The sequence below is a fragment of the Homo sapiens genome, chromosome 14 (assembly GCF_000001405.40).
Source record: "Homo sapiens chromosome 14, GRCh38.p14 Primary Assembly".
NCBI lineage: Eukaryota > Metazoa > Chordata > Mammalia > Primates > Hominidae > Homo > Homo sapiens.
Window position 1 is genome coordinate 73,036,004 of NC_000014.9, and position 12,056 is coordinate 73,048,059.

Here is a 12,056-nt window from a genome sequence, read left to right on the forward strand (position 1 = left end):
ATCCCAGCACTTTGGGAGGCCGAGGCGGGCGGATCACCTGAGGTCGGGAGTTCGAGACCAGCCTGACCAATATGGAGAAACCCTGTCTCTACTAAAAATACAAAATTAGCTGGGCATGGTGGCGCATGCCTGTAATCCCAGCTACTCGGGAGGCTGAGGCAGGAGAAGCGCTTGAACCCGGGAGGCGGAGGTTGCGGTGAGCCGAGATCATGCCGTTGCACTCCAGCCTGGGCAACAAGAGTGAACTCTGTCTCAAAATAAATAAATAAATAAATAAATAAGTATGATAACATATTTCATCAAATTACATTTAAGTCCTGCTGAACTATGAGCAACATCTTTCTTCCATTAATTAAGACAAATTACAAATCAAACTGCCTTAATCAATAAAAGAAATGTATTGGCTTACATAACTGAACAATCTGAGATATGACAGTTTTAGCCAAAGCTGAATCTGGAACTCAAATGATACACTCAACACTTTGCTTCCTTCTCCATTTCTCAGCTTGGAGAAAGGCACCTAATTTTTTTTTTTTTTTTTTTTAAGACAGAGTCTCACGCTATTGCCCAGGCTGGAGTGCAGTGGCGCAGTCTTGGCCTGTAATCCCAGCACTTTGGGAGGCCGAGGCAGGTGGATCACCTGAGGTCAGGAGTTCGAGACCAGCCTGGCCAACATGGTGAAACCCCATCTCTACTAAAGATGCAAAAAATTAGCCAGGCATGGTGGCAGGTGCCTGTAATCCTAGCTACTCAGGAAGCTGAGGCAGGAGAATCGCTTTAACCCAGGAGGCAGAGGTTGAAGTCAGCTGAGATCATGCCATTGCACTCCAGCCTGGGCAACTAGAGCGAAACTTCATCTCAAAAAAAAAGGAGCCAGGCCTAGTGGCTCACACCTGTAAGCGCAGCAATGTAGGAGATCTAGGCAGGAGGATTGCATGAGCCCAGGAGTTCAAGATCGGCCTGGGCAAAAGTGTGAGACCCCATCTCTACAAAAAATTTAAAAATTAACTGGGTGCAGGCCAGGCGCAGTGGCTCACATCTGTAATCCCAGCACTTTGGGAGCCCAAGGTAGACAGATCACTTGAAGCCAGGAGTTCAAGACCAGCCTGGCCAACATGGTAAAATCCTGCCTTTACTAAAACTACAAAAATTAGCCGGGCATGGTGGTGCATTCCTGTAATCAATCTCAGCTACTCAGGAGGCTGACGTACGAGAATCACTTTAGCCCAGAAGGCGGTGCTTGCAATGAGCCAAGATTGAGTCACTGCACTCCAGCCAGGGCAACAGAGGAAAACACTAAAAAAAAAATAAAATGCCAGGTGCAATGGCTCACACCTGTAATCCCAGCACTTTGGGAGGCTGAAGCAGATGGATCACTTGAGGTCAGGAGTTGAAGACCAGCCTGTCCAACATGGTGAAACCCCCATCTCCACTAACAATACAAAAATTAGCCAGGCATGGTGGTGCATGCCTGTAATCCCAGCTACTCGAGAGGCTGAGGCAGGAGAATCTCGTGAACCTGAGAGGCAGAGGTTTCAGTGAGCCAAAATTGCACCTTTGCACTCCAGCCTGGGCAACAAGAGCAAAACTCCATCTCAATAAAAAGGAAAAAAAAGTGTCTTCTGAGAATTTGTGAACATAGTTTTACTCTCATTTTTTAGGGTCTGAGTGTTGAATTCTAGTGACCCCAAGGTGGTACTGCACTTTGGCACACAGCAAATATAAATTGCAAACCTTCTTTGGAAGAAACCTCCTCAACTCAAACTTCTAAGTTTGTCACAAATAAACTTAAGCTAAGCATGAACTCACAAAAACAAGTCTCCATGAATAAGAATCAATAATAAATAATATATTTTTACCGCTGAGATTCTCAGCTATTGTAATAATCAAATATGTAAATGAAGGCAAAATGAAGACATTTCAAACAAACCAAATCATAGGAAATTAATCATAAGCAGACCTGCACTATAAGGAAATGATAAAGAATGTTATTTAGGCCGGGCGTGGTGGCTCACGCCTGTAATCCCAGCACTTTGGGAGGCCGAGGTGGGTGGATCACCTGAGGTCAGGTGTTTGAGACCAGCCTGGCCAACATGGTGAAACCCCTTCTCTACAAAAATACAAAAATTAGCCAGACGTGGTGTTGGGTACCTGTAATCCCAGCCACATGGGAGGCTGAGGCAGGAGAATCACTTGAACCCAGGAGGCGGAGGTTGCAGTGAGCCGAGATTGCACCATTGCACTCCAGCCTGGGCGACAAGAGTGAGACTCCATCTCAAAAAAAAAAAAAAAAAAAAAAAAAAAAGAGCATTATTTAAGCAGAAAGAAAATGATATCAGAGGGCAATTAGATTCACACAAAAGAATGAAGAATGTCAGAAAATACCTGCTATAGTTTGAATGTTTGTGTCCCCTCGAAAATTCATGTTGAAACTTAATAGACTGCAGCAATGCAATCATGGCTTATAGCAGCCTTGACCTCCTGGGCCCAAGCAATCCACCTGCCTCGGTTTCTCAAGTAGCTGAGACTATAGGTGTGTGCCACTATACCCAGCTAATTTTTAAAATTTTTTGTGGAGATGGGAGTCTTGTTAGGTTGCCCAAACTCCTGGGCTCAAGTCATCCAAAATAAGCAAAGAGAAGAAAATAATAAAGATGGCTGGGCTCGGTGGCTCATGCCTGTAATCCCGGCACTTTGGGAGGCCGAGGCAGGCAGATCACTTCAGGTCAGGAGTTCCAGACCAGCCTGGTCAACATGGCAAAACCCCATCTCTACTAAAAATACAAAAATTAGCTGGGTGTAGTGGCGCACGCCTGTAATCCCAGCTATTCGGGAGGCTGAGGCAGAATTGCTTGAACCCTGGATTCTTGAACCTATCTCAGCCTCCCAACTAGCTGGGATTATAGGCGCCTGCCACCATGCCCAGCTAATTTTTGTATTTTTAGTAGAGACAGGGTTCTACCATGTTGGCCAGGCTGGTCTCGAACTCCTGACCAGCAGATGATCCACCCGCCTTGGCCTCCCAAAGTGCTGGGATTACAGCCATGAGCCACCACGCCCGGCCCAGTCTTTTCACTTCTATTGGCATAGATTAACTTGTGTAGAACATTAATCATGTTTAACAGATCACCATAAAAATCAAACAATAAGGCCGGGCGTGAGGGCTCTGTAATCCCAGAACTTTGGGAGGCCTAGGCAGGCGAATCACCTGAGGTCAGGAGTTCGCAACCAGCAGGACCAACATGGAGAAACCCCATCTCTACTAAAGATACAAAATTAGCCGGGCATGGTGGCACATGCCTGTAATCCCAGCTACTCGGGAGGCTGAGGCAGGAGAATCACTTGAACCCGGGAGGCAGAGGTTATGGTGAGCCGAGATGGTGCCATTGCACTCCAGCCTAGGCAACAAGAGTGAAACTCCATCTCAAAAAAAAAAAAAACAAACAATGAGAAAACACAGGCTCACCAATCTCCAACTCACTTATATATTCATAATACCTATGGTAGTGTCTCTTACAGTGATGGCTTCATAGCACCCAAATAAAAGTTACCTGGGCCACTTAAAAATGTAGATTCCTAAACCCCACTCAGATCTACTGAATTATAATCTCTAGGGGTGGAGCGAGGAAAATCTCCTTGTTTAACAAGTACCACAGTGACTATTATGCACACCAAAATTTGTAAATACAACTGGAGCCTCTAAGTAATTGAAAAACACATTGGTATTCAACCCTGATTCTGCTTTAACATCATCTGAAGGTTTTTGGGTTTTTAAAAAAATATTGATGTCCAGTCTCTGCTCCTGGAGAATCTGATTTATTAGGCCTGGTATCAGTATTCTGTTTTGCTTTTGCTTTTCCCCCAAAGGTTCCCAGATGATTCTAATGTGCAGCCAACAGTGGAAAGGCCTAGAACCAGAGAAATTAGAGATGAGCTGAAGAGCCTCAAAGAGTCTTTCCCTTGGCATGAAAAAACTGACCTCAAAATGAATCCCTTAAAGGGATATCAGGGACAAATTCTCCAGGATTCCTGCTAAAATGCATCCAAAAAGGATTCATTTATCATATTACTGTATTTACCTCTTACCTGGAAAAAACAGAAAACAGCCCTTAGGGAAAGGCTGTAGGATAAATACGTTTGGATAGATTTGGGGGAGAGGCTGATTTACATATAGTAATTATGGCATTTTGGAACAGGAAGGAATTGCAGAGATTATTTTATCTACATGAAGGATGTCCAAACTACACGCCACCTGTTATTGTATGGCCCACAAGGTAAGAATGATTTTAGGCTGGGCACGGTGGCTCAGGCCTGTAATCCCAGCACTTTGGGAGGCTGAGGCAGGTGGATCACTTGAGGCCAGGAGTTCGAGACCAGCCTGGCTAACACAGTGAAACCTCATTCCTATTAAAAATACAAAAATGTGTCGGGTGTGGTGGCACGCGCCTGTAGTCCCAGCGACTCAGGAGGCTGAGGCACAAGAATCATTTGAATTTGGGAGACGGAGGTTGCAGTGAACCAAGACTGAACCAATCACTGCACTCCAGCCAGGGCCACAAAGCAGACTCTATTTCAAAAAGAAAAAAAAAGGTTTGTACATTATTTATTAATTTTAAGAGACAGGTCTCACCATGTTGCCCAGGCTGTAGTGCAGTGGCTATTCACAGGTGTGATCCCACTACTGAGCAACACTGGAATTTTCATCTGCTGTTTCCGACTTGGGCTGGTTCACCCCCGCTTAGGCAACCTGGTGGTTTCCCGCTCCTGGGAGGTCGCCATATTGATGCTGAACTTAGGGCAGACAACCATTTGGCATCATGTGCTGCAGCCCAGAACTCCTGGGCTCAAGCAATCCTCCTGCCTCAGCCTCCCGAGTAGCTGGGACTATAGGAACATGCCACTGTGCCCAGTGGTTTTTACATTTTTAAATGGTGGGGGCCAGGTGCGGTGGCTCACGCCTGTAATCCCAGCACTTTAGGAGGCTGGGGCGGGCAGATCATATGAGGCCAAGAGTTCAAGACTAGCCTGGAATATGGCAAAACCCCATCTCTACTAAAAATACAAAAATTAGCCAGGTGCGGTAGCACGTGGCTGTAATCCCGGCTACTCAGGAGGCTGAGTCAGGAGAATTGCTTGAACCCAGGAGGCAAAGGTTGCAGTGAACTGAGGCTGCGCTCTAGCCTGGGCAACACCTGGCCTGTGATGGAGCTTGTAAATTAGATTGTCAGGTTTGCATTTTATACTGAGGGCAATAGGCAGGCGTGTAAGGGTTTGTAGAGGAGAGAGAAAATAAGGAATAATGCCCAGGATAACATCTCAGCAATTGGATATGATAAAGAACTTACTGGGATGGGAAACAGGAGAAGAAACAGGGGAAGCTGGTGAAAATGGTGGCATAAGGAACACCTGGTCTGTCCCTCCACAAGGACCATGGATAAACTGACAGAAACTCACAGAATGATCATTCTCAGAACTCTGGCTACTCATCGGAACCTTGCCACAACTGAGGAAATGCTTAGTTAAAAAAAAACAACTGAATCTTCATAGAAGAGCTTTGTGACATTGTACCTTATGCTGAACCTTCCCCTGTTCCTCAGCACAAAAGAGACCTTGAAGATGCACCGTGTTCACAGTAAGAGTGCCCAGTACCAGAGGGAGCAGAACAGACATTATACTCAAAGAATTTCAGTTGTTTGTTTTGATCTCTCTGGTGGGATCACTTGAGCCTAGGAGTTCTAGACCAGCCTTGGCAACATAGACAGACTCCGTCTCAAAACAAAATAACACAAACAAAAAAAAAAGAGGCAAGGTGCGGTGGCTCACGCCTGTAATCCCAGCACTTTGGGAGGCCAGGCAGTGGAACACTTGAGGTCAGGAGTTCCAGATCAGCCTGGCCAACATGGTGAAACCCTGTCTCCCCTAAAAATACAAAAAATTAGGCAGGTGTGGTGGCATGTGCCTGAAGTCCCAGCTACTCCAGAGGCTGAGACAGGAGAATCACATGAACCTGGAAGGTGAAGGTCACAGTGAACTGAGATCCCATCAGTGCACTGCAGCCTGCGCACCGAGTAAGACTCTGTCTTAAAAAAAAAACACAAAAAAAACAAAAAAACAAACAAAAAAAAACACCAGCTGCAGTGGCTCATCACTTAATCCCAGCACTTTGGGAGGCTGAGGCTTGTGAATCATGAGGTCAGGAGTTTGAGAGCAGCCTGGCCAACATGCTGAAACCCCGTCTCTACAAAACATACAAAAATTAGCTGAGTATGGTGGCGTGCACCTGTAATCCCAGCTACTCTAGAGGCTGAGGCAGGAGAATCGCTTGAACCAGGGAGGCAGAGCTTGCAGTGAGCCGAGATTGCACCACTGCACTCCAGCCTGGGTGACAGAGCGAGACTCCATCTCAAAAAAAAAAAAAAAAAGAAAGAAATACAAAAATTAGCCAGGTGTGGTGGCACACACCTGTAGTCCAAGCTACTGGGGAGGCTAAGGCAGAAGAATCGCTTGAACCCAGGAGGCGGAGGTTGCAGTGAGCCAAAATTGCACCACTGCATTTCAGCCTGGGCAACAGAGCAAGATGCCATCTCAAATAAAAAACAAAGGGCCGGGCACGGTGGCTCATGCCTGTAATCCCAGCACTTTGGGAGGCCAAGGTAGGAGGATTTCTTGAATCCAGGAGTTCAAGACCAGACTGGGCAATATAGTAAAGACCCTGTCTCTTAAAATAAAAGAAAAAGAAAACAGGCCAGGTGTGGTGGCTTACACCTGTAATCCCAGCACTTTGAGAGGCCAAGGCAGGCAGATCATTTGAGGTTAGGAGTTCAAGACCAACCTGGCCAACAAGGTAAAACCCCGTTTCTACTAAAAATACAAAAAAAAAAAAAAAGCCAGGCACGGTGGCTGATACCTGTAATCCCAGCACTTTGGGAGGCCAAGGCGGGTGGTCACCTGAGGTCAGGAGTTCGAGACCAGCCTGGCCAACATGGTGAAATCCCATCTCTACTAAAAATACAAAAATTAGCTGGGCATGGTGGCACATGCCTGTAATCCCAGCTACTTGGGAGGCTGAGGCAGGAGAATCACTCGAACCTGGGAAGCAGAGGTTGCAGTGAGCCAAGATCGCACCAATGCACTCCAGCCTGGGCGACAGAGCAAGACTCCGTCTCAACAACAACAACAACAAATTAGCCAGGCGTGGTGGCACACGCCTATAATCCCAGCTACTAGGGAAGCTGAGGCAGGAGAATCACTTGAACCTCAGAGTAGGAAGTTGCAGTAAACCGAGATTGCACCACTGCATTCCAGCCTGGCCGACAGAGGGAGACTCCATCTCAAAAATGAAAATAAAAATAACAATCAGGCAGGGCGCAGTGGCTCACACCTGTATCCCCAACACTTTGGGAGGCTGAGGCGGGTGGATCATGAGGTCAAGAGATCCAGACCATCCTGGCCAACATGGTGAAGCCCCATCTCTACTAAAAATACAAAAATTAGCTGGGTGTAGTAGTGCACAGCTGTAGTCCCAGCCACTTGGGACACAGGGGCAGGAGAATCGCTTGAACCGGGGAGGTGGAGATTGCAGTGAGCCGAGATCGTGCCACTGCACTCCAGCCTGGCGACAGACGGAGACTCCATCTCAATAAATAAATAAATAAATAAATAAATAAAAATCAGCTGGCTGGGTGTGGTGGCTCACGCCTGTAAACCCAGCACTTTCAGAGCCCGAGGTGAGCAGATCACTTGAGGTCAAGAGTTCGAGACCAGCCTGGCCAACATGGTGAAACCTCATCTCTACTCAAAATATAAAAATTAGCCAGGTGTGGTGGCACATGCCTGTAGTCCCAACTACTAGGGAGGCTGAGGCAGGAGAATAGCTTGAACCTGGGAGGCAGAGGTTGCAGTTAGCCGAGATCTTACCCTGCACTTCAGCCTGGGCGACAGAGCAGGACTCCGTCTCAAAAAAAAAAAAAAAAAATCAGCCAGGCATGGTGGTCTGCGACTATAGTACCAGCTACTCAGGAGGCTGAGGCAGGAGAATCACTTGAACTTGGGAAGCGGAGGTTGCAGTTAACCGAGATCGAGCCACTGCACTCCAGCCTGGGTGACAGAGGGAGACTCTATCTCTAAACAAATAAATTAATAGAAAAAAAAAGAAAAGAATTCCATTTACAGTAGCGTCAAAATAATAGACACACAAAGATAGTGAAATCTGGGTCCAGAGGGGTCACCGCCTCCTCTTAGGAATAAGTTTTTTTTTTTTTTTTTTTTGAGACAGAGCTTGCTCTATTGACAGGCTGGAGTGCAATGGCATGATCTTGGCTCACTGCAACTTCTGCCTCCTGGGTTCAAGTGATTCTCCTGCCTTGGCCTCCTGAATAGCTGGGATTACAGACACGCACAACCACACCCGGCTAATTTTTTGAATTTTTATTAGAGACAGGGTTTCACCATGTTGGCCAAGCTGGTCTCGAACTCCTGACCTTGTGATCTGCTCACCTCGGCCTCCCAAAGTGCTGTGATTACAGGTGTGACCACCGCGCCTGGCCTAAGAATAAGTTTATACAAGGAAATGTAAGACTTATGCATTGAAAACTACAAAACATTACTGAAAAAAATAAAGAAGATCTACATAAATAGGAAGACATTTTGTCTTCATTGATTGAAAGACTTAATATTGCTATGATGGCAGTACTTCTCAGATTGATCTTCACATTCAGTGAAATTCTTACCCACATTCTAACTGCTGGCCTGGAAAGGTGGCTCACACCTGTAATACCAGCACTTTGGAAGGCCCAGCCGGGTGGATCACCGGAGGCCAGGAGTTTGAGACCAGCTGGCTAACACAGTGAAACCCCCATCTCTATTAAAAATAGAAAAAATTTGCTGGGTATGGGGGCACACACCTGTAATCCCAGCTACTTGGGAGGCTGAGGCATGAAAATCGATTGAACCCAGGAGGCAGAGTTTGCGGTGAGCCAAGATCTTTCCACTGCACTCCAGCCTCGGCGACAGAGCAAGACTCTGTCTAAAAAAACAAACAACAACAACAAAAACCCAAGATCTTTCTCTGTTGCCCAGGCTGCAGTGCAGTGATATGATCACAGCTCACTGCAGCCTCGAATGCCTGGGCTTAAAGGATTCTCCACCTCAGCCTCCTGAGGGAAGGAGGCACTCAATTAACTGGGATCACAGTCACGTGCCATCATTCCCAGCTAATTTTATTTTTGTAAAGATGAGGTCTTGCCCTCTTGATGCAGTCTTGCCATCTTGCTAGACTGGTCTCAAACTCAGGGGCTCAAAAAATCCTCTGGAGTCGGCCTTCCAAAGTGCTGGGATGATGGGGTCAGTGATTTTTTTTTTTTTTTTTTTTTTTGAGATGGAGTGCCACTCTGTTGCCCAGGCTGGAGTGCAGCAGCGCCATCTCGGCTCACTGCAACTTCTGCCTCCTGGGTTCAAGCAATTTTCCTGCCCCAGCCTCCTAAGTAGCTAGGATTACAGATGTGTGCCACCATGGCCAGCTAAGTTTTATATTTTCAGTAGAAACAGGGTTTCACCATGTTGGCCAGACTGGTCTTAAACTCCTGACCTCAGGTGATCTGCCCACCTTGGCCTCCCAAAGTGCTGGGATTACAGGCGTGAGCCACTGCGCCTGGCCAATCAATTTTTTATAATGGTGCCACAGCCTTTCAGTGAGGAAAGAATAGTCTTTTCAACAAATGATATTGGGATAATTTGATATTTACATACACAGAATGAATTTGGACCCCTGTTTACAACATACACAAAAATTAATTCAAATGCACCTAATATCTCATGTAAGAGCTAAAAGTATAATACTGTTAGAAAACATATAAATCCTTGTGACTTTGGATTAGACAACAGTTTCTTAAATATGATACCAAAAGTACAAGCAATTAAAAAAATAGATAAATTGGGCTGGGCACAGTGGCTCATGCCTATAATCCCAGCACTTTGGGAGGCCGAGGTGGGCAGATCACCTGAGGTCAGGAGTTCAAGACCAGCCTGGCCAACATGGTGAAACCCCATCTGTACTAAAAATACAAAAATTAGCCGGGCATGGTGGCAGGTGCCTGTAATCTCAGCTACTTGGGAAGCTGAGGCAGGAGAATCACTTGAACCCGGGAGGCAGAGGTTGCAGTGAGCCAAGATCACGCCATTGCATTCCAGCCTGGGGACAAGAGTAAGACTTTGTCTCAAAAAAAAAAAAGATAAATTAGATTTTATCAACATCAAAAGCTCTGGAGCTAGGTATGGTGGCTTGTGCCTGTAATTCCATTACTTAGGAGGCTGAGGAGAGATCACTGGAACCCAGGAGTTCAAGAACAGCTTGGGTAATCTAGCAAGATTCCCCCCCACCACCATTTATTTTTTCTCTTTCTTTCTTTTTTTTTCTTTTTCTTTCTTTCTTTCTTTTCTTTCTCTCTTTCTTTTTCTTTTTTTTTTTGAGACGGAGTTTCACCCTTGTCACCCAGGCTGGAGTGCAGTGGTACAATCTCGGCTCACTGCAACCTCCGCCTCCCGGGTTCAAGCGATTCTCCTGCCTCAGCCTCCCAAGCAGCTGGGATTACAGGCATCTGCCACCACACCTGGCTAATTTTTGCATTTTTATTAGAGATGGGGTTTCACCATGTTGGCCAGGATGGTCTTGAACTCCTGACCTCGTGATCCATCCGCCTCAGCTTCCCAAAGTGCTGGGATTACAGGTGTGAGCCACCGCACCTGGCTGTTTGTTTGTTTGTTTGTTTGTTTGTTTTAAGATGAAGTCGGCCAGTGTGGTGGCCAGAGGTGGGGGAATCAGCTGAGGTCGGGAGTTCGAGACCAGCCTGACCAACATGGAAAAACCCTGTCTCTACTAAAAATACAAAATTAGCTGGGCGTGGTGGCTCATGCTTATAATCTCAGCTACCTGGGAGGCTGAGGCAGGAGAATTGCTTGAACCCGGGAGGCAGAGGTTGAGGTGAACCTAGATTGCGCCATTGCACTCCAGCCTGGACAATGATAGCAAAACTCCATTTCAAAAAAAAAGGAATGAGGTAGTGATAAATGCTACACCATGGATGAACCTTAACAGTATTATGCTAAGTAAAAGAAGCCAGATACAAAAGGCCACATATACTATGATACCCAGAATAGGCAAATTCATAGAGATGGAAAGTGGGTTTGTGGTTGCTCAGGACTGTGGGAGTAGATAATAAGGAATGACTGCTTCATATTTGTGGAGTTTCTATTTGGGGGAGAGAAAATGTCCTGAGTGGCAGTGCAAGACCCTATCTCAAATAAATAAATAAAAGTAAATATAACTGGGGGCCAAATGTGGTAGCTTACACTCGTAATCCCAGAACTTTGAGAGGCCAAGCGGGAAAGATCACTTGAGCACTGGAGTTTGAGACCAGCCTGGTCGACATAGTGAGGACTTGTCTCTACAAAAAAATGTTAAGGTCCTAACTACTTGGGAGGATCACTTGAGCCAGGGAGGTTGAGGCTGCAGTGAGCTGTGATTATGCCACTGCACTCCAGCCTAAGTGACAGATCAAGACCCTGTCTCAGAAAAAGAAAGAAAAAAAGAAATATAATTGGTATACCTCTTTGGCAGAGCTATTTGGTAATATATATTTAAATTTCAAAATTAGCATAGCCTTCTACCTTGAGTTTCCACTTGTAGGTATCAGCGGTAGAGAATTACACGCACAAATTTAGAAGAAAGCATATACAAAGATGGTAATTGCAGGATTGTTTACATGTCTACAAATTGGAAACAAATGTCCATAATTAAGGGAATGATTAAATTGTATAGTGGATGATAGTTGCCTTCTCAGTATCCATTTCCTTCTTCCTCTTTTCTAACAAAATTATAATTTTATGCAAATATCCACCTTTCCTCTGAGGCCCAAAGTCCCAGAGAAAGCTGACCTCACCAGTGGCTCAAAGGATAGGTATAATTGCCTAAGTGTACTTACATCTATCCTGCCAATGATTGTTTTGCCAAAGAGCATGAAACTCACTTTGGCGTATGACTCAATTCAGGTTCCTGGAGA

General features: G+C 45.8%; 1 pseudogene, besides 1 other annotated feature; it reads right to left on the reverse strand.

Moving 5' to 3' along the window:
• Positions 129-302: a silencer, noted in NCBI's record as "fragment chr14:73502840-73503013 (GRCh37/hg19 assembly coordinates)". NCBI's record gives its function as "represses an EF-1alpha promoter that drives an FKBP-Casp9 reporter gene in an ReSE screen in K562 erythroleukemia cells {active_cell/tissue: K562}" and the evidence as "EXISTENCE:reporter gene assay evidence [ECO:0000049][PMID:32094911]".
• On the reverse strand, positions 4,616-4,908 carry RN7SL586P (RNA, 7SL, cytoplasmic 586, pseudogene; annotated as a pseudogene).